The sequence below is a fragment of the Homo sapiens genome, chromosome 7, assembly GCF_000001405.40.
Source record: "Homo sapiens chromosome 7, GRCh38.p14 Primary Assembly".
NCBI lineage: Eukaryota > Metazoa > Chordata > Mammalia > Primates > Hominidae > Homo > Homo sapiens.
This window is the reverse complement of record NC_000007.14, coordinates 37,018,633-37,041,114: the sequence shown is the minus strand read 5'-3', so window position 1 is coordinate 37,041,114 and position 22,482 is coordinate 37,018,633. Positions and strand designations below refer to the sequence as shown.

At 39.6% G+C, this 22,482-nt stretch overlaps 1 protein-coding gene across 14 annotated transcripts in view, besides 4 other annotated features; it reads left to right on the top strand.

Annotated features, from left to right (window-relative positions):
* The window catches only part of ELMO1 (engulfment and cell motility 1), a 596,421-nt gene that overhangs the window by 408,212 nt on the left and 165,727 nt on the right, over positions 1 to 22,482 (top strand). The gene's annotated exons all lie outside the window — the stretch shown is intronic.
* Positions 8,222 to 9,421: an enhancer, noted in NCBI's record as "P300/CBP strongly-dependent group 1 enhancer chr7:37071299-37072498 (GRCh37/hg19 assembly coordinates)". NCBI's record gives its function as "activates an origin of replication core promoter dependent on BRD2, BRD4, P300/CBP, MED14 and CDK7 cofactors, with strong dependence on P300/CBP, by STARR-seq in HCT116 cells {active_cell/tissue: HCT116}" and the evidence as "EXISTENCE:reporter gene assay evidence [ECO:0000049][PMID:35650434]".
* Positions 8,718 to 9,387: an enhancer, noted in NCBI's record as "NANOG-H3K27ac hESC enhancer chr7:37071333-37072002 (GRCh37/hg19 assembly coordinates)". NCBI's record gives its function as "activates a minimal SCP1, AML or CMV promoter by ChIP-STARR-seq in primed H9 embryonic stem cells {active_cell/tissue: H9 hESC(primed)}" and the evidence as "EXISTENCE:reporter gene assay evidence [ECO:0000049][PMID:30033119]".
* Positions 13,696 to 13,955: an enhancer, noted in NCBI's record as "active region_25849". NCBI's record gives its function as "activates an Ori minimal core promoter by ATAC-STARR-seq in GM12878 lymphoblastoid cells {active_cell/tissue: GM12878}" and the evidence as "EXISTENCE:reporter gene assay evidence [ECO:0000049][PMID:35858748]".
* Positions 14,026 to 14,075: an enhancer, noted in NCBI's record as "active region_25848". NCBI's record gives its function as "activates an Ori minimal core promoter by ATAC-STARR-seq in GM12878 lymphoblastoid cells {active_cell/tissue: GM12878}" and the evidence as "EXISTENCE:reporter gene assay evidence [ECO:0000049][PMID:35858748]".

Below are 22,482 nucleotides of genomic sequence, written 5' to 3'. Positions count from 1 at the left end.
TTTTATTTATTTTATTTTATTATTATATATTTTTTGAGACGGAATCTCACTCTGTTGCCCAGGCTGGAGTGCAGTGGCATGATCTCGGCTCACCGCAACCTCTGCCTCCTGGGTTCAAGCGATCCTTCTGCCTCTGCCTCCTGAGCAGCTGGAATTACAGGCATGTGCCACCACGCCCAGCTGATTTTTTTTGTATTTTTAGTAGAGACGGGGTTTTGCCTTTGTTGGATAGGCTGGTCTAAACTCCTGACCTCAGGTGACCTGCCCACCTCGGCCTCCCAAAGTGCTGGGATTAGAGGAGTGAGCTGCCACGCCCAGCCCCATATGACTTTTAGAGTGCTAGAACGCTAATAATACAGGAATAAGGGAGGCACATTTGCTGCTTATACCCACCAGGATATAGCTGATGAGGCAGCTACATAATGCCCTGTTCCTCCTTCACTGATGGAGAAATACACTAACAGGCAGTAACATTGTGCGTGAAACATATACTACTTTAGGTTTGTGACCGGCTGTTTTTGTTCCACTATAAACAAAGCCGTACACTGGGGAGGAGTGGGGATTTGGCATCCACAGAGTTCTGCGTGTCACATCATGCACATGCTGATGGCAGCTGGGTGCTCCTATGTTTACATTTTTGCCATTCCTGTATCAGTTAATGTTTTTGTCATAATGATGCTAAGTCCTTTACATGGGAGTTCTCTTCTGTTGGTCTTGCATTGGAAGACCTATTATGCAAGAACTGTTTGTACAATATCACAGCTACTTTTGTCCTTAACAAAGTCACCATATAATCATTACCCCTGGGGGTAATCAGGAAAATGATCCCAAACTATTTGTTTGGCTTTATTTAGTTTTGTGCTTTGAGGATGGTTTTTGTCTAGTGGTAGGTGTCTAAGTTGAACACCTGTCTCTCTAAAACTACTGTCCAGTATATTAGCCACTAGCCACAGGTAGCTATTTAAATTTGAATTAAGTAGAAATAAGTAAAATTTTAAAATTCAATTTAATTCCTTAGTCACACTAGCCCCATTTCAAGTGCTCAGTCCGCACACATACACACACACACATACACACAAACACAAACATTTACATTATCACAGGAAAGCCTACTGGACAACATTGTAATATACTGTAATACAATGTAATGTTACATTACAGTACTGTCCAGTAGAATTTTCTGTGATAACATTTTAAAAATCTGAGTAAAATTTAAGAAGTTTACATCTTTGCACTTTTTAATTATTCTGGATCAGCACCTGTAATTTATCTTCAATCAGCATGATGTTGCTCATGTAGAGAGAGATTAATTCATGTCAACAAATAAAACCAACAATTTTATTTATCTAAATAAACCGTGTGAATTTTAAGTATTTATTGTCGATAGCTAGGAAGAGGAATTAGACACAGGCTGAAATAGAGTCAACTGGCCTCAGGCTAAAAAAGAAAATTTTCCCCTGAGGAGAAGGTGCAGACTGAAACAGCTTCTGCTTCCCTGTTTCCATAAGGACAATGTTGAAGGGTTTGTGTGCTCATATAGTGCTTCCTTCTGATGCTGTAACTAGAAAAGTCCAAACTGCCCTCTCAGCATTTCAGTACCACTTATTGTTGAGTCAGTATTAAGACAAACTGGAATGATAGATCTGTTCTCCAGTTTTGTGGGGAAAGGAACAAAGACACAGTTTGCTGTGTGCCCTGCCCACGAGCAGGAGCCTGCTAGAAGAGAACCTGCCCTTGTATCTCCCCCTCCTCATGGCCTGCAGTCAGAGTGCCCAGGAGGCTTCTAGGCGTCAAAGCAGCTCTTATTATTATGGAAAGAATGTCAGCATTTTGAAACAGAGAAAACCAGTTGACCTCAAACCATGGCATGTCATAATCTGTACATTCTGCCCCTTGATAAGTATATAATGTAAAGGACCATTCATTTTGTGAGCCTGTTTGCATCCATGTGGTTGTCCTTGCAAACTAAATCTTTTTTTTTTAAAAATTGGAGCAGTGACTCATTTTCTAAACTTCATAAAACTTTTTCTAATTCTTTCAAGAAAAAGCATGAATCTCAGAGTTTCCAAGTGCTACTAACTTAAGTGTGTCCTCCCTCCAAATGTATATTTTGAAGTTCTAACTGGCAATGTGAAGGTATTTGGAGATTGGGCCATTAGGAGGTAATTAGGTTTAGATGAGTTCACAAGGGTGGGGCCCTCATAATGGGATTAGTGCCCTTATCAGAAGAGACACCAGGGAGCTTGCCATCTCTCTCTTTCTACCATGTGAGGAAACAGCAAGAAGGCTTCCATCTGCAAGCCAGGAAGAAGGCCCTCACCAGAACCCAACCATGCTTGCACCCTGATCAAGAACTTTCAGCCTCCAGAACTGTAAAAACAAAGAAATTCCTGTTTTTTAAGTCACTTAGTCTATGGTATTGTTTTATTGAAGCCTGAACAAACTAATACACTAAGTTTGGAAGAGTAATATTGGAAGAAAAATCTCTAAGCAAGAAGGAAGCTTGTCATACCTTTTCATTTCCAGGCTCTGCTACTGAGAATCCAAGATGTAGGTGATGATTAGAAAATTCAAAAAAAGCAATGACTTTTATGGTAAGAAGGAAGATCAAAAAATCTGTCCCAAAATACCTTGAGCATCCTTTGGGTCACTGGTGTGGAGTTAATTTCTTGCCTCCACAAGGCTTCTATTAAAATAAGAGAAACAGTTCTGGGAAACTAGGGTGCCCCCTGGGTGAAGCTCCAGGGGTCATGAGCTTGCACAGGCAGGCCAGCAACCTAAAGCATCCAGGGACAGGATGAAGGTGGGGCTGAGTTCAGGTTGTTCCCCCTTAGGTGGGAGCCAAGTGGGCAGGAGAAAAGTCAGGAACACCTTGAGCAAGGGAGACATGGGAACCAATGGGATGGGGAGGGTGAGGATGAAGGTGGAGCTGGAGGCTCTGGGAAGTTGTTGTCAAGGGGATCGGGACCAATGCTTGTTTTGTTTAGCTTTCAGTGACAGGATCTGTACATGGTTTCCTGATTGAAAAGCACAGAGCCACAGAGACAGCTAAGGAATATATCTTTTTAAGATATAGGGGATGATGGGCAAGGCAGGTGCATCCACTCAAACATGGTATCTGTGTTAAGTTGGCACCGTGATCCCTGAAAACATTTGTTTCACTCTTGATTGCAGTCTTCAGGCTGTCTTTCCAATGTGCTACCTTTTCCATAACTTCCATAGTTCTTTTATTTAGTACTAAAATTTTAAGGGTGTCAGCTGCCCAGATTAACAATATCTTGAAGCCATATACATTCACGTGTCTGTGTGTGCATCTCAGTATCATTCATTCAGACAAAATGAAGTGATGTCATGAAACAAAACACAAAGCTTATGTTTTGGGTTGGTGAGGGAGTCGGACTAGTGAGCAATTCTGTGAGTTCTGATACAAAACTTCTGTTGACCCCAGCTCACTTGATACTAGCCCCTTCCTCTCTTCTACTCTGTCTGAATTTTATTTAGAACAGAGTTTGCTTCACTTGACTTTATTGTCAGTCCCTTGCTAGGGGCAGAAAACCTGTGCCCAGTGTGCTCAGGCCTTCCGATGGCCCGATTCCTGGCACTGCTTCCTAAGTCCTCACCACAGGAAATGTTTGTGCCTTCCTAGGTAGCAGCTCAATTATTTTCCCATCTCCTCTGTCATAGGGGTTAGCGGACAGAGTTGGCTGGAACCCAGTAAAAGAATGGCCGATCACTTTTTGGCTTGACCTGGGGAGGGAAATGCAAGCATCAGTGTCAGCCTGTAATAAATGAAAGGTTATTGAAAATCACAGAACAACGTGTGGCTCTTCCACATAATGCACAGGAACTGTTGGCATTGAACATACTCACTTGAGGAACTTCTTCATCTCAGATTTTCTTTCATTAAAACATTAAAGGGCATATTCTAGTCTTTTATATAGGAAAGTCACCATTTGATTGGCTGTGAGTTTAACTAGTGGATCTGGAAAATTCCACAAATTAACTTTCAACTCCTCATTTATTATTTCATTAGAAGAATATCTTTTATTCTGTAGTAACCCCATGGTATTTCTCTTTCCTTCTCATTATTTCTCCACTTCTTTCCTGTGCCTGGCTCCTCATTTACACTGGCCACTTCATTCTCCTGTGATTTCTATGAACTCAAGCTTCAGAGTGACCTTTGTTTCTTTTATCTTCTCTTCCACATAAAATTTGCTGAGAAGTTCTTTTGAATATTTTCTTGCCTTGGGAGCCAAATCCTGGTGCTATCACTTTTGGGTCATTGGATCCTTAACATAGCTTTCCTCCAACTCCAATATCTTGCATCCATTTTAAAAAGAAGATGAAATTCCGGCACCTACATGTGTGGCCCCCATTGGTGGACTTCCTCCTGATTTCCCATCATTTCCTGGAAGTAACCTCCTATAACAATCCTAGGCCGGGCATGGTGGCTCATGCCTGTAATCCCAGCACTTTGGGAATCTGAGTTGGGAGGATTACTTGAGGTTAGGAGTTTGAGACCACCTTGGGCAACATAGTAAGACCCCACCTCTACAAAATAAAAAATTTTAAAAATTGACTAGATGATGTGGTGGCACTTACCTGCAATCCCAACTACTCAGTAGCCAGAGGTGGGAGGATTGCTTGAGCCAGGAGTTCAAGGCTGCAGTAAGCCAAGATTGCACTATTGCACTCCAACCTGGGTGACAGAGTAAGACCCTGTCTTAAAACAAATAAATAAATAAATTAGTAACAATCCTGACATTTGTATGATATTAAGCATCTTCAAAGGTACTTTGTATACACATGAGTTTGCTAGGGCTGCCATGACAAAGTACAGTTGACCCTTGAGCAACATGGGTTTGAATTGCATGGGTCCACTTATGCATGGTTTTTTTTTTCAATAAATAGGTTGGAAAATTTTTTAGAGATTTGCGACAATTTGAAAATACTCCAACAAACTGTGTAGCCTAGAAATATCCAAAAAATTAGGTATGCCATGATGCATGAAACATATGTAGATACTACTCTATTTTATCATTCACTACCATAAAATATACACAAATCCATTACAGAAAGTTTAAATGTATCAAAACTTAAACATTTACAGACCATACATGGCATCATTCACAGTCAAGAGAAATGTCAACAAATGCAAAGGTGCAGTGTTAAATCATAACTGCATAAAATTAACTGTAGTACATACTGTATGACTAATGGTTTCATAGCCATCTCCTTTTGGTGTTGCAGTGAGCTCAAATGTTGCAAGTATCTGCTTAACACACCATGTGATGGTAATCATCTCCAGATAAAGTTTTCTCTCTGGTAAATTGTGTATTACAGTGAAAAATGATCTCTCATAGTTCTCTTTTATTTCTCATCAAGTTTAGTGTAATCCTTTAAGCCTTGAATAACATCATGGACCCATAGGAAGTACCACTAATCATGCTGGAAGTGCTTCCAAGAAGCAAAGTCATGATATTATAAGAAAAAGTTGAATTGCTTGATATGTACCAAATATTGAGGTCTGCAGCTGCAGTTGCCTGACATTTCAAGCTAGATTAATCCAGCATAAGGACCATTGTAAAAAAGAAAAGGAAATTCAGGAAGCTGTTTCTGCAGTTATGCAGCAGGTACAAAAATCTTTCACTTTTTATGAAATACGTTTTAATCTCATACTGAAAATGCAGCTTTTGTGTGGGTGCAGAATTGCTATTAGAAAAGCATAGCTATAGACTTGAATATGATCCAACCAAAAAAGAAGTCATTCTGTGACAACTTAAAGCAAAAGGAAGGTGAAAGATCAAAATCTGGAGAATTTAATGCCAGCAAAGGATGGTTGGATAATTTTAGAAAGAGATTTATCTTTAAAATTGTCTAGCTAATAGGAGAAATAGCTTCTGCCAACAAGAGGAAGCAGATGAGTTCCAAACCGCCATTAAGAAAATCATTAATGGGAAAGGATATCTGCCTGAACAGGTTTTTAATGAAGACAAAAGTGCCCTATCATGGGGGAATGGAAAATGCCACCAAGGAATCTATTGGAAAGGAAGAGAAGCAAGCACCAGGATTTAAGGCTGGAAGGACTAGGTTAACTCTACTGGTTCTGGGCAAATGCATTTGGGTTTATGATCAGGGCTGCCTTTATCTATAAAGCTGCTCACTTCCAACCCCTGAAGGAAGGAGATAAACACCAGCTTCCAGTCTTCTTGTTGTACAAGAAGGAGCTCTGGACAAAAAGAACACTTTTTCTGGATTGGTCCCATGGATATTTGTCCCTGAAGTCAGGAAGTACCTTGCCAGTAAGGGACTGCCTTTTAAAGTTCTTTCCATATTGGACAATGCCCCTGCCACCCAGAACCCCATAAGTTCAAAATCAAAGAAACTGAAACAGTCTACTTGCCCCCAAACAACATCCCTAATTCAGCTTCTAGATCAGGGAGTCATAAGGACCAGTAAGGCTTTTATCTGGTTTACTTTATTGTAATAATACAATATATAATACATATAACATGCAAAATATGTATTAATCAACTGTTTTTGCTATCTGATAGGCATCTAGCCAACAGTAGGATATTAGTAAAGTTTTGGGGGAGTCAAAAGTTACACATAGATTTTTGACTGTGCAAAGGGTTGGTTCCCCTAACTTCCATGTTGTTCATAGGTCAACTGTACCACAGACTGAGTGGTTTAAACAACATAATTTTTTAAAAAAATCATGATTACAGAGGCCAGAGTCTGAGATCAAGGCATTGGTTTGTTCCTGGGGCCTGTCTCCTTGGCTTGTAGATGACCATATTCTCGTGTGTCTTCAAATGGGCCTCCCTCTGTTCATGTCTGTATTGTAATATCCTCTTCTTATAAGGGCACCAGTCCTATTGGATTAGAGCCCACCCTGTTGTCATTTTAACTTCACTCTTTAGAGACCATTTCTCCAGACACAGTCACATTCTGAGGTACTGGGGTTAGGACTTCAACATAGGAATTTGAGGGTGGAAGGTCACAATTTAACTCATGTTATTACACATTTTTTTCCCTCTGATCTCTCAACTGTGTGAAGTTGTGAGGAATTAGAAGTAATTCATCTCCTAAACGTATATCTGATTTGTACATGGGAATACAATGTAAGTAAGTCCACTAATGCTCTAATTTTTTTTTGGCACAGCACTGTCTCTCTTATCTTAAACCTAATTGAGAGAGTTACTAGCTAACTGTTCGCTTCCTCCCTTTATCTTCTGTTGTCTTTATTCCGCACCCCTGAAGATTCTGAACCACCCACTCCCTTCTGCCTCGGGCAATGAATAGTCTTTCTCTTAGTTTCCTCCACATCTCTTCGCAGTTCTTTAGGGATCAATTCTGATGATCTTAGTCTCCAGTATTCATGTCCCTGATCTCACATCATGGGACAGATTTGCCTTGCAATTTCTTTTCCAAATTCTGTATTCTTATCAGAAACATCTGTCATCAAAACACTGCATTTGCCTCATTTCATCAGATATTCAGTGTACCGGGACCCTTGTAGCCCTACTCCCTGGGAAGGGACATTCAGGCCTTGACATTGGAATGCTGGCTTGCTGGAAAGTTATAATCCAGTGTCTGTTTGGTGTATTTTTTTTTTTTTTAACACTAAACACATGGCCTAGACATTGGTTTTGCTTCATTTTCGCTCAACATTTATGATAATAAAGCTTTGTTTTCATAGATCACTTATCTCCTGAAAAATTCACACTGCCGTGAACACGATCCAGCCTTGCAGTGTGTCTCGGAGGTAAGTAGGTGGCAAGTATTTTTATCCCCTTTTATTAAAGCATAGGCAGAGCTCACTGCACAAGGATCCCCTGGAAGGGGGAACAATTTGGACTTAGCCCGTCTGCGCTCCTCCTGCTCCGTTTATTTGGGTACCATAAACCCACCCAGAACTGCACACAGAAGTGTCTCCTTTGCAGGCAGACGTATATGCATGCATTTCAATGGCTTCCAGGAGACAGCGATTATGGAATGTGGAGTCTGAATGTAAATGGAATTTGAGATGAGCCTGACTAGTAAATTATTCTGAAGGAAAAACACATTCAGAAATATGATTTTATCGCTTCTCGGCGTTTTGGCTAAGATGAAGTGTAGAAGTATGATTTAGATTCCACCCATCCTTAGGTGCAATTCAAATGCCAGTTTCTCTAAAAAATAAAGCCAACTCTTCCCCTGGACTCTCCAGACACTTGACCTGTCCTTACTTTGTGGTGTATAACTCACTGCACTTTATCTTGTTGCTCTCCTGGTCAGAGTCTATGCCTGATCCATCTCTGTGGATAAGTACTCAGAAATGTTTTCTGAAGTGGAATGAAAGGAACTAACCTCTGTTGTTTGTAACTGGCACAGAACCCAACAGTTTCTGCCAGTGACAGGTCATGAGCATCTTGAGGCATCCAGAAGATTGTCGTGGTTGGATTGTCCTCTCACTTTGCTTCATGCTCACTGCTTGACCACTGATTATTTTGGAGAATGTCTCTCTCCTTGGCCAAGGCTTTGGGTATTATAACCAAGAGAGGATGATCTAACCAGCCATTTTATCAACAGCGGCTCTGAGAGCCCAGCGTTGGGTGCCAGCCCTGCAGAGGGACATTGCGAAGTATCTTTATGTCCTTCGAGCATCCCTCCTTTCCATCAACTGGCAGGGTGGAGCAATAGCATCCAGTTACTGACCTTCCAGGAATAATGTGAGCATTGGATGTATTAGGCCTCCAAAGTATATCTGTGCTGCTCTGATGAAAGGTGCTTTAAGTAGGGTTGCTTGTTAAAAATAAGTAGTGCCAATTCTCAGGCTGCCCCCTGTGTTTTCCTTTCCCTTGCTCCCTTAGATGTTTTTCAAAGGTGCCAATAAAGCCTGCAAAACATGGGTAATGAAAAGGAAGGGAGAGCAAGTTCTTTTTGTCATAAGCGTGAACTGTGAGTCATCTCTTCTGAGTCACCGTGAACATACAAAGGAAGCCAATCAGTAGGGGTGCACTCTAATAGGATGTTTCTCCAATGACTCACGCAGGCCTGGAATGAGGAGCAGCCTGAATCAAGCCAAACAAGTATATTTTTAAATCTGGAAGGGCGCGCTTCCTGGTGCAATATGATGATCAGTCCTACACACTTACATGCTTATTTTAGCCCAGGCACTGAAATGTGTGGGCATGGTCTCCACGGAGCCTTCTCCTGTGGTCATGTTTTGTTTTGCCAGTGGGGAAGGATGTTTAATGATTAACTGTCACTATCAAGAATATAATATTTCAGTGCAATATTTCAATGTGAGGAGAAGAATAATTTTTGAATGTGGTGACTTCAAGAACTCGGCTCCATTGGGTAAGGCCTGCTTCACGTGTAAACATGCATTCCACAAACATTTTTTGAGGCCCTAAGTACTGAATATATAAAGACAGAGAAGGCGTAGTCCTAAGCCTCAAGGGTATTAGAATTTCCACAAGGAGACAAAAAAGCAAACAGAGCATTGGAAAAGTGGCAGAGGGTCAGATGGAGACACTTAGAAGGCTCAGCCTATAGAGAATGGGCGTAAAAGAATCCCCTGGAAGTGGGAACAACTGCTCTGGATTCTGAAAGACCTGCAGGAGTTACCACTGAGGAGCGAATTGAGATGAGGAAGGGTGATTAAGGCAGAGGGAAAAGCATGTATTAAGTCTAAAAGTCTTCCAAACAGTTTATGTTTTTCATTATTGTCTTATTTTCTCAAAATTTTGCAAATGCAAAATTTTCTTCTTTTCCCTTGGCAAATGCATTCTGGAAACATTTTTTCAAGCTGACCCAGAAACCATCTCATTCAGGGCGAGTCAGGGTCCGTGTTGTGAAGAGGCGTTACTTTATCTGAAGGATTTTAAGCAGAGGCTATACATGTGGCTATAGTTAGGTTTTGATGAGCTCCTCATGGAAGACAGTGAGGGAAATGGATCTGTCCCGAGACTGGGAGACCATTGTAGCCTTTTGTCTTAATCCGGAAGAGCAGTGATGAGCACCTGAACCAAGGTCAGTGGCAGTGGGAAAGGAAAGGAGTAAATATAATATATTTGTGAGATGGTGATTGAGAGAAGAGTCAACTGAGCAAAAATAGCTGAGATGGAGAACCTAGTAAGTTTGGATAAGCCATAAAGAATAGGAGTTATGTTTTGTCAATTTTGACTTTGAGGTGGCTAAGAGATGTGGCTAAGATGGGCGTGTCCAATAAGGAGTTGTCTGGAGCTCAGGAAACTATCTTGGTTCAAAATAGAGATTTGGCATCTATGAATGTAGAAGCTACAGGACCAGATTAGTCCTCCTAGTGCAGGAGTGAAGAGTGAGAAGAAAAGAATGGTGAGAAAAGAACTTTGGGCAGAAGGAAAACGAACAAAAACAAAAAACAAATCTATGAAGGAGACGAGAAAGAGCAAGGAGATTGGGAAGAAGAACAATTATCCAGGTATCTCTTCTCCAGTATTAGTGAGCTGATGCTTTTTTCCCCTGTGAGGTAGTAATGACTATCAAATAATTTTGAAGCCATTCATAAGGAATCCACAAGAGTATATACACACTCGATAGAATGTCTTTCTTACTAAGAACCATGTTGTCATATTGGGTATCTTATTGTACGTTATATTAACCATATAAGATATCCTGGGTCACTGCTATGTGTTGTAGAATAGTAAAAATGCTCTCTTGTTTTAGAGAATTGGCAAGTGTTTATAAAATGAAAGTTTCAGAATGCATTTGTCAGGGGAGAGGAAAAAAAAACAGTTTCAAGTATTAGTAACAAAATTGAATGACTAAGAAATGAAATAAAATATCTGTGAGGAATAGGAACAAAAATGCCTGAGAGTATCAACTTGCATTTCACATAGGAGGAAGTTCTGAACAATTTCATCAGTATTTTTCTTCCTTTAAAAGCATCTTATGTTTAGTCTCATCCTTAGGTTTTCATTAAGTTGTTTTCTTATCTAAAATGGTCTCTCCTTAGTGAAGATTTTTAAAAAGAGAGAGAGAGAAAGATGGCCGCCAAGAAGCTGGAGAGGAAAGTAGCCCTCACTGAATTTGGTTTAGGGCAAATTCTCCTGGAGGCAATGTCTGTGATTGGATTATAGCCACCTGAAAAGACTTGCAGGGATCTTATAGAACCTTCGGGGGTTGATTATCATTATAAGTCAGTAAGACTGAAGAAAAAAAGTAGCAGACATCGAGTATTACGAATAACTTAGGAGGAAACTAAGGTTTTAAAAAAGATCTTCACCCATTAATTTAAGACTCTAATTCTTCACAAACATACATTTCTAAGGCAGAATCTATACATGCCTCCATCCCAGTGGCCCAGGAATAAAAAAAGAATGTTTTATTCGTAGGAATACCAATTAGCTTACGATGCTGTGGAGAATGAAAAAGTAGACTCCTTATACCAATAACAAGAGTTTAAGCCTAATTTTATTAGGGCATTTTTATGGTGCAAATAATTTTTATTAACTGCAAAACCAGATTCCCTTCCAGGATGTCTGTATGTTCAATACATTCTGAGAGCACACCCTAGTGAGTATGCTGTGTTATACTCAAATTTATTTCCCAAAATACCACCAAAACACTAACATCTGTTGTGTTTGGTTGTTTTGGTTTGGTTTTGAGGCTCTTTCTGTGAAATAAAGAAATCCAGTACTTACATAATCTTCATAATCGCCGTGATTTTTTTTTTTTAAAGAAATCAGTGTGCATGGAATTGTTTGTAATGATTCAAACTGATATAATTTGGCTACTTACTGATGAGAGATTCTAAAACCTGAGACACCTGGGGTAATCTTTGATATGTATGTGATCAGTCAGGATCAAAGAGGCCTGTGGTCTTTTTATGTGAACTGTGGGCAAATTCACATCTCCTACTGCATAATGGCAGCAATTATGTATTTATTTAGCTTCTGGGCCAAGGAGACCTCTGAGTACACTGGTTGTGCACAGATCTGGTTAAGATCACAACCTCTGAAAGCTGCTTGCCTCCTGCACGTACGTCTGGCTCTGCCTCTCTCTGGCTGTGTGACTCGGGCAAGTCACTTAGCCTCTCTGTGACTCATTTTTCTCACCTATGAAATGGAAATAAGACCCAAACCTGTCTTATGGGGAGTTCATAGGAGAACTACATAATTTGATAATTGTAAAACACTGAGAACAGTGGCTGTTATATATTAAGCACTATATAAATGCATGGCAAGAAATAAATTGGTCTGATTAGCTTGATTTTCTTAATCTTTCAGGATATTAGCCTTTTATTAAAGGAAATGGATTTGGTGTCTTGTTTACTAAAATCAGAATGTACAGCCTGGGCAACACAGCAAGACCTTTTCTGTACAAAAAATAAAGAATCGGCTAGGTGTAGTGGCACATGCTTATAGTCCTAGGTACTTGGGAGGCTGAGGCGGGACGGTCGCTTGAGCCCAGGAGTTAAAGGATGCAGTGAGCTGTGATCATGCCACTGCTGTCCATCCTAGCAAGACCATAAGACTTTCTCTCAAATAATTTTTTTTTAAAGAGCAGGATTTATAAAACCAATAAACAAATAAGTAGTCCTTGAAATGAAAAGTCTGTGAATTGTCTACTTTTCTCCCCAGTAATATTAAAACAATAAAATTTCTATGGGAATACATGTCTGCCATGGATAAATTGGAAAATTCTGTGCTGTTTTATCAACTGTAAGGATTGCATGTCCAAAAAATTATGATAGTTGGCAAGATCAAGTCTCCATAAAAATGGTAGGTCGGAGGAAAAAAGAAGTGGAATCAACTGTTTTTAAAAATCACGGCAAATAAGCTTTCTAGAAAGTATTAACTTTCTGCCTTAAAAATTGTCCATGAAAGGAAATACTTCTCCAGTGAGCAGCAAAATACCGGGAATTCTGTACCCAAACTGGTGTTAAACCCTGGCTCTCCCTCTTGTTAGTTCTGTGAGTCTGGGCAAGATCCTTTACTCCTCTGTGCCTCTGTTTTCTCATCTGTACAATGGGGATGATAATAGCTGCACTAACTTTGTGGAACTGTTATGAAGATTAAATGAGAAAATACTTGTTAAAAAAAAAAAAGACAGTTCTCGTAGTATGGTCATTGCAATATTCTAAGATAAACAACTCACCTTTCTAGGCTGCTCTCTTAATTTGCTGAAGCAGATTCCCCCAAGTGTCATGTTACTCAGATTATGTCCTTTTCAAGTTTTCCAGCCAGCTGTTACTGGTTTGATATTTAATGCCTTATCCTTTAGCATTCCTTTTTTTTTTTGGTAAATCTCAGTTAAGTGCCTGTGTGGAGCTTGACCTTTTCCTAAATTGTTATCACAGTGCTGGAGGATATGCTTCTTGGGGTCTGGGGTTGTGTTCATGTGCTAAGAGCGCCTCTCTGTGTTCCACTCACAACCTTTCCCACACGAGCTTGGGTAGCAAAGAGCTATGGTCCTTGCCACCCTCACTTGTTTAAGGGACTGAACCAAACAGTAAATAGGCAAAAATATTAAAATATTTAACTCTATTTTTGTTTACTAGTATACATCTCTATCCTTTCGAATCTCACATTAGCAAAAGCATGACTATCAATGGATCATTCCCTTAATATCCCCTGCGTCTCCCTTAAATGCCTTTGTCCAGGATTAACACATAGTTGACAATGTTATGCAGTCCTTGAGGTGATATGTTTATCATGACAGAGGCTGAGATGAGCACTAAGCCCAGTACCCCTGCTCAAAGTAGGTTCCTGTAAATGGGGCAGGTGGTGCATGGTAAAGGGAATCCCCTTGCTGGGGACTAGGTGTTGGCAGTTGTACAGAGGAGGGCTATGTCTCTGTATTTTAAAAACGTAATCAGATTTGCTTTTGTTTTCTGTTGAATTTGTGCAATGAATTTGCTTCTTTGTGATGTTATTCATTGTTCTCTTTTAAGAGAACACCTACACTCAGTTTCAGAAAGTTGGGGGAGAGAGGGAGGAAGAATGGGTCATTTTGAAGGATGAACTATTTTAAGGCAGTGGGTGAAGCTTGTGGGGAGCCTTCCAGAGTGCTGTGTGTCTGTGCTGGCCCAGCTGCAGGAGGACTGTGGTGTATGTTCAGGGATACTCCACGATCTGTGCCTGAAGTGGAACATAATGAAAGCCACATAGAAGAAAAGCATGTAGCTGGAGGCATGAGGAGGCAGGAAACCAAGGAAGGGAGTGCAGTCATGTGTTTCTGGAAGGCTGGCCATGTGAGAGCCGTGAAGGATGCAGACATGACAAAGCCAGCCTCTCCACTTTCCCTAGGTTTCTAATCAGGCGTGGGAATCCAAATAGAAGGAGGAAATGAAAGACCTATGGAAGCATAAAGAAGTGGGACAGAGCTTTAGAAGTGAAGTGCCATTAGCAGAGGTCTGGGCTTTGGAGGTTGACTCAGTGGGGTCCAAGTAGAGGGAAAACCAAGAGCTAAGCATGTGGAAATGCAATCAGGGGTGGTTTGTTTGACACAGAGGTATAAATTATGGTTGAATTTAGGGTGCATTCACAGAGAAAAGCAAGAAGTAGTGGAGTGGGCTCAAGTTTAGATGAGTGTTGAATGCCTTGCTAAGGTATTTGCATTTTTTTCTAACAGCTACAGGTGATCACTACAAGGTAATGACTTTTGAAGGGGAGTCAGTTACAGAGCACCAAAGATAAGAAAGAACCTGTTCAATGAGCAATCCTTGGCATTTATCCTTAAATTCACATTTATCCAATACAGAATTGCTTATTTTTAGCCCATTTTGCCAGCTCCCTAGACGTGGCTAATGCTCTGAGCCCCAGGTTAAGGTGTAATCTAAAGTCACACCATGGCTCTGCAAGACAGACACAGTTCTTACTGGGTCTTCAGTGAGGGACATCCCAGCTGCTCATTAATCTGCCTGTATCCCAACATAATCCTTGGGTGCCCATCTCACATGGTTGGACAGGCAATTACTTATATCCACAGTAAATTTGCCATATGACAGTCTCTTAATGCGCCACTTCTCTGAATAATTTTCCTCGTAAAGAAAGTTTTAACAAGGGTATGCAGAAATCACTTCTTGCATATATTTTCCTTTGCCCTGCCTTGAACTGTTTACCACACAACTAGAATTTTCCTTTTCATCTTCTGCTCCTCCTTCTTGTATTAGGGTTATCCAGAGAAACAGAATCAATAGAAAAAAATAGATAGATAGATAGATAGATAGATAGATAGATAGATAGAATATATAATATATATATTTGGAGAGACAGAGAATCCTTATAAATCTCATGTATATATAGAATATATATGATATATATGTATGTAAGTATATATATATGAGATTTATCATTAGGAATAATCTCATGTAGTTATGAAGGCTGAGAAGTTCTACAAACTGCCATCTGAAAGCTGGAGACCCAGAAGAGCTGGTGGTGTAATTCAGTCCAAGTCCAAGGACTTGAGAACCAGGGGAACTGATCATGTAACTCCCAGTCCACAGGCAGGGGAAAATGAGACGAGATGTCCCAGCTCAAGCAGTGAGGCAAGAAAAAGGGCTAAGTTCCTCTTTCCTCCACCTTTTTGTTCTATTCAGACCCTCAAGGGTTGGGCGTTACCCACACACCTTGGGAAGAGCTATCTACTTCATTGAGTCCACTTATTCAGATGTTAATCTCAACTGGGAATACCCTCACAAACACACTCAGAAATAATGTTTAATCTGGGCACCCATTGGCCCAGTCAGGTTGATGCATAGAATTAGCTACATCTCCCTATGCCTCATCAATACCACTCCCAGAAGATAAGTAAAATCTATTTAGCAAGATAAGTGTTTCATACTCAGTTTTGCATTGCTAATTCACATCACAAACTTGATACTCCTCTCCAAAAAATTTTTTCATTGTTGTTGTTTTTTATTGTTATTTTTTCTCTTTGGGCCAAGAACAGCATTTCCTAGACCTAAAAGCAGCTCCAGTAAATGATTATTTTGCCAACGGATGAAGGGTAAATGATCCAGCTTCTGTTTCTGTGCACATCTTGATTGTTTTCAACTGGAGGACAAAGGAAAAGAGCAAACACAGAGCCTATTGGCAAGACCATTTTTCAATTATAAGCAAATTCCCAGGGGTTACTTAGCATGCACTTACCAGAAATCTTAATTTGCTGGAATTTCTGCATATTTTGCCTTTCAGTTCAACATCTCACAAGATGACCTTGGGAATGCTGCTCTATAACTTTCTAGGAGATCAGGGTACCTTTCTAACGCGAAGCTAAGTAAATAAGATTTCACCACAAGTTAAACCTTAAATCAAGGACTTTTTTGAAAAAAAAATCATATTTGTATTCTGTGTAACATTTTATGACTAATATTTATGAAGTGCTTACCAAATGTCAGGTGCTGGACTAAGCATTTTATGGGAATCTTTCCACTATATCTTCAGTCAATTCTACAAGATATGAGTTTTTGTTATTCCCATCATAGTAGAAGAGTCTCAGGGACATGAACAGACTTGGTTGGGATCACACAGTTAAGTGGCAGAGGGAGAATTCTAGCTGCAGTCCTAACTCTAGAATGACACTCCTATCCACTTTGTGCTAAGGTATTTACCTGGTTCATCACTCATCCATAATACGCTGAAATATCAGTTCACTGGATTCCAGAATAACAAGAATCCTCAGATCACCTGAATTTTAATTTCATTAAACAGAGACCAAAATAAAAGTAAGAAAAGAGATGGAAAGTTGTCACTTTATCACACTCCTATTTTAACCCCTTTAATGGCTTCCCATTGAAGTTCACCTCCCTAATGCAGTCTACAAAGCGTTGTGCGAACTGATGCCTGCCAGTTTCTTCAGCCTTGCCTTTTACCAATCTGTCCTTGCTCATGAGCTCAAGGTCACACAGATAATAAGTGGCAGTGCCAGGATCCAAACTCAGACAGACTGGCTCCAGGGCCATGCTCGTGACCGTCTTGCTAGTTAGATGGATGGATGGACCGACCGACAGATGGAATAATGTGCACATGAATGGATGGACAGAAGGAAGGAGAAAAGGAGGGAAGGAGGGAGAAAGGAAGCACCCATAAATGGATGAAGGAAGGGAGGGAAGGAAAAAGAGAGGGAGATGATTTGAAAGAAACGTGCAACACTTCTTAGAGTTCATACACAACTAGTCAAGTCTATTACAGTTTTTGCATTGACATCTGCAGTACCCTTCAATAAGACTGGGATCTCCATTCACGAAAGAAAATGCATTCATAGGCCGGTGGCTCATGCCTGTAATCCCAGAACTTTGAGAGGCTGAGGTGGGCAGATCACTTGAGGTCAGGAGTTCAAGACCAGCCTGGCCAACATGGTGAAACCCTGTCTCTACTAAAAAAAATACAAAAATTAGCCAGGCTTGGTGGCACGCACATGTAATCCCAGCACTTGAATCCAGGATGCGGGGGTTGCAGTGAGCCGAGATAGTGCCACTGTACTCCAGCCTGGGTGACAGAGCAAGACTCCATCTCAAAAAAAACAAAATGCATGCATATACTCGTTTATCCATCCAACAGATGAAATTAAACTAAAGTTTAGGTATGGAGAGGTACCCCCTGCCCAACTTCAGAAGCTGATAGCAGTTAGGTGATTGGTCCAGGATGCCTGCATAAACCAGTTATGTAGTTTTTTTACCCAGCCAGTAAACTTAGTTACATAAAATGTCAATCCCTATTTCTAGAGGTGATGGGCAGGATATACACACTCATTCTGAAAAGCCCACTGAAATCATATGTATGAAATGTTATAGTTTTATCTTGTCTACTGGATAGACAGGATATCTGCTCCTGGAAAGCTCATATTCTACCTTTTTAAGTTAACTTTTCATAAAAAGTGTAACTTACATAGAGGTGTTCAAATCCAAAGAACACACACAACTCAATGAATTTCCAAACCGCCAACTGCCCATGTAACTGCTATCTAGATTAAGAAAAGATATTAAACAACCCTCAGAGGCCCCCTCTTGGGCCATCTTCCCACTCTCAGTTTCTTCTCTCTTCCAAAAGAACCAATACCCTGTTTGCATTATCATCTGTGAATTTTGCCTGTTTTGAGCTTTAAATAAATAGGATCATATCCTATGGTCTCTTTTATGTGGGGCTGTTTTTGCTCCACATTATATTTGTTTCAGTTCATTCATGCTATTGTGAAAGTTATTTGAATACACTCATATTGTATGTAGCATTTTTAAAAATAATTTCTTTGTAGTAAGTATGCTGCTGTATGAATAAACCATAATTTATTTATCCAATCTGCTGGATGGACATTTAGATTGTTTCAAGTTTTTGGCTGTAACAAATAGTGCTGCTGTGAACATTCATATACATTTCTCTTGGAATGCGTATGTATGCATTTCTGTTGGGTTTATATCTTTGGCTAGAATTGCTGTATTATAAAGTAAGAATATTTTAGCTTTAGTAAATACTGCTAAACTGTTTTACAAAGTGGTTGAACAATTTTACACTCCCATCAACAGTGGATGATGATTCCATTTGTTCCACATTCTTATCAACACTTCATGTTTTCCATCTTTTATTTTAGCCCTTCTGGTGGATGTTTAAAAGTAGCTCATTGTTGTTTAAAGCTGCATATTTTTTTCTGTGACTTAAAAAGCTTAGCTCCTTTTCATGTGTTCATTGGCCACTTATATGTCCTATTTTGTGAAGTGCCTATTTACGTTTTGCCCATTCTTCTACTGGGTTGTCTGTCTTTTTCTTAGTGACTTATAGGAGTGGTTATATATCATAGATACCAGTTCTTTATTAGATAATGTTGAAGTTTTTTCTCTATTCCAAAGTTGCCATTTTTATTGTATATTTTGACAAACAAGTTCTTGAGTTTAATATAATAGAATCAAACAGTTTTCTTATGATTAATGATATTTCTGTTTTGTTTAAGAAACTTTCGCCCACCTTAAAGTCATGAATATATTCTTACATGAAAACAACTTTATTGTTTTTCCTTTTGCACTGAGATCTATAATCCACGCAGAACTGATCTTTGCAGATGGTATGAGGTAGGGAGTCATAATTCATTTCTTCCAGATGCATATACAACTGGCCCAATTCAACCAATTGAAATTCCTTTCCACTGCAGTGTCATTTTTGTCATAAATCCAGTGACTGTATATATGGGTCTCTGGACTCCCTATTCTGTTCTATTGTTCTGTTTTTCCATCCATACACCAATACCACACTGTCTTCATTGCTGTCATTTTACAAGTCTTTATATTTGGTCCCAAAAGTTTTCCAAATTTGGCATTTTAGCTAGGTACAATAATAATTACTTTGTTATTAAAACTAGTAACGACTGACATGTATTGAGTTCTTTATCTCGGTTAACATATGAATCACTCTACATTTAATCTTAACAGCAATCTGATAAGATAGAAACCATTGGTTTTTCTTTTTTTCTTTTCTTTTCTTTTTTTTTAATGGGGATATAGAGGCCTGGAGGAATTTTAAGGTGATCAAGGTCACATTGCTATTAAATAGTGACGTCAACATTTGCATGCAGGCCAACCTGACTGCAGAAGCTCTGCTCTTTTATTAACTGTGTGCCTGGGATGTGGCCTCTGATTACTTTTGCTGAATTGGCTGTCTTTTGGTGCTATGAGGCTGATTTTCAGCCTTAACACTAGTCGGTATTTTTTTTCCTCTCTCCATGTCCTCAAAAAAGGCCCAAGGGAAGGTGAACAATGAAGCATTGAATAAATTTCATGCTATTTTTCAGTATAAATTTTATACTATTTTTAGGATACAAAAGACTATCCAGAGTTCTATTAAACCAGACTTCAGGAGCTGAGAAGAGCTGCGAAGGTTTAAAGCCTCTGATCCCCTGTCCTGAAATAGCAGGGGTGGTAGCTTCTATCTAGGCTGAACTCATAGGCAGTGAAGGAACTTCAAGTTCTTGACCCCACTCTCCTCTTTTCACCTCTCCCACCTACAAAAGGTTCTGAACTTTTAGCATCTCCCCACGCAGTACCACCTTCCAAAATCAAACTGTTAAGGAATACCAGGTTTAAAAATAGAAAACTCAAAGTTTTCTAAGTACGGTAAGATTATTTTTATACAAAGGAATAAATATACATCTGCATCAGAGAATTCATAAATATATTATCCAGACTGACCCTAGAACCACAAATAGTTCTAATGTAAGTTTCTGTGCTGTGGATCACCAGGCAGATTTTAATGACTGCTCTAACAGGTTTTCTGTGTTAAATGCCTTTGTGTGTGTATGATATATTCCATTTTTCCTGTAATTCATAATTTTACAACAAAACATCCATTGTGTTAGGCCAGTGCGTGTGTTTTTCAAAGTGCACCATTTCCAAAGGCAGTTGCAATAGCTCATGAAGTCATGGTAAAAAATATTCATATTTGCCCAGTGCTCCCAAATCTCTGTTATTTGTAAATGGGTTCAGAGTCTCTCTTAGCATCACCAAGGTCATAGAAAGGATGGAACAGAGCTTTTCAGCATCTCAAAATGTGTATTTGTCTTTAGAAAATTCCTGTGAGAGCGAAAATGGTATGCATTTTCCCGTCGTCTTATCATTCTATCATTAGTCAAGTAATTTCCTTATGAAATGGTCTGCATTAGGTAGGATTAACAAGTTGAGAAAGTGTAAAAACAATTGGCGATTTTCTTACGAAAGAAAGAATAAATCCTTGCTCATCAAACATTTGCTAAACCTATCAAATACCACTCTAATGTCTTCACACTCTAAATTAAATGTGTAGTCATCCTGTCAATAAAGGAAATAGTAGTTTGGGAACTAAAGTTCAGTGCAGGCAGACTCTCTAAGTTCTACAATTTTGGATGGGCTTTGGGGAGTTGAAGATGTATTATCTGGCATCTATGTATATGGAGACTGCTGGAATTTTGGACTTGGCAGGGGTCTTACAAATCCATTAGCCCAACTCATTTGCAGGTAGGAAATCTGGAGCCCAGGGAGCTGCAATGACCTTTGTAAGGTTATGGTCAGCTCTAGACCCATTCCCTACGCTCATTTTTCATTGCTTGTTTGCTACAGTGCAGTAACCCTTGTTTTCTGAGAGCCAGTGACAATACCTGCCCCACTACACATTACCCAGTGAAAAATAGGAACATATCTACTTTGACAGGCAAAGTGGTACATAAGTGTACAGCATTTTATTTTTATTTTTAAAAATATGTATGTTCAGGTTATAGCTGCTTTCAAAGCTGGCTTGCTTATAAGTGAATGAGATATCAGCAAATTGTACCCTCAGTCCTGAAAATATCTTAATATTCCAGACTTAAAAAACCATTGTGTTGGGTTTTTAAAATAAAGTAAAATCTCATTGTGTTAAAAATAGTGTGATTAAAACAATTTCGTTTTTAAACGTCTTACTATTTTTGTCCCATTGAAAGTGTCTCTCTAAATTTCATTTATAAAATATTGTCTGCTAATTCTTTTTTCTCAGTAAGTATTGTTTTCCTTTAAAAACAATAATAAACCTCACCCTTCCTGGTTTTCTTTGTTTATTTAAACCTAAGAACTCTATTCTTAGACTTAGGCTATCTCTGCAAGGTGACAAGCTCTCGTGTATAAACGTGTAGCCTGGGAGAGGCTCCACTTGATAAATGGTGAACATGGCCACCGTGTTGGCCCACACTTGGATTGAGCTTGCTGTCTTAGTCACTGTTCCCATTTGATCCTCACAGCGAAATGATGAAGTTTGTATCCAAATACACAAAAGCCTTTTCACTGTTTCTTTTGTTACCTGTCAAGAACCAAGTTATTCTTACTTTGTTATTTGCCTGTATCTCCCTGCAAAGGAGGAGTCTTCAAGAATCTTAGAATGATGGCAGGCCAACCCCTTCATGTGGAGGTCAGAAACACCAGTGCTGGAGATACAATGCTGGGTTTGATTTCTGGCACTGTTGCTGCTAGTTACTCATCTTCACAGTTCCTCAATTTTCTCATCTGTGAAACAGGGATGATAATAATAGGACCTTTGTCGTTGTTACACATTCAGAGAGTTCAGACAGGAAAAGCTCTTAGAATATTACCCTACACAGTTACCTCCTCATGTGAAATTTCAGCTTTGAAGTCTGAATAGTTCAGTAGGTTTTTGACATATCATCAAGAATGATTGGTTGACTCTAAGCACCCCCGCCCCCCGCTTATCTATGGGACCCTAAAGGCCATTCACCAGATTCCTCTTTCCTTCCTCATCTCCTAGAATTGTTGGAGTCTTTAAGAGGCTATATAATGTGCTGAGAATGATGATTAAAAATAGTAACTAATAGCCACCGTTTACTAAGCCTATGCCATGTACTTGATTACAAATAGTAACTAGCTGTGCCTGATGGCTTATGCCTGTAATCGCAGCACTTTGCGAGATCAAGGCGGGCAGATCACCTGCGGTCAGGAGTTTGAGACCAGCCTGGCCAACATGGCAAAACCCCATCTCTACTAAAAACACAAAAATTAGCCAGGCG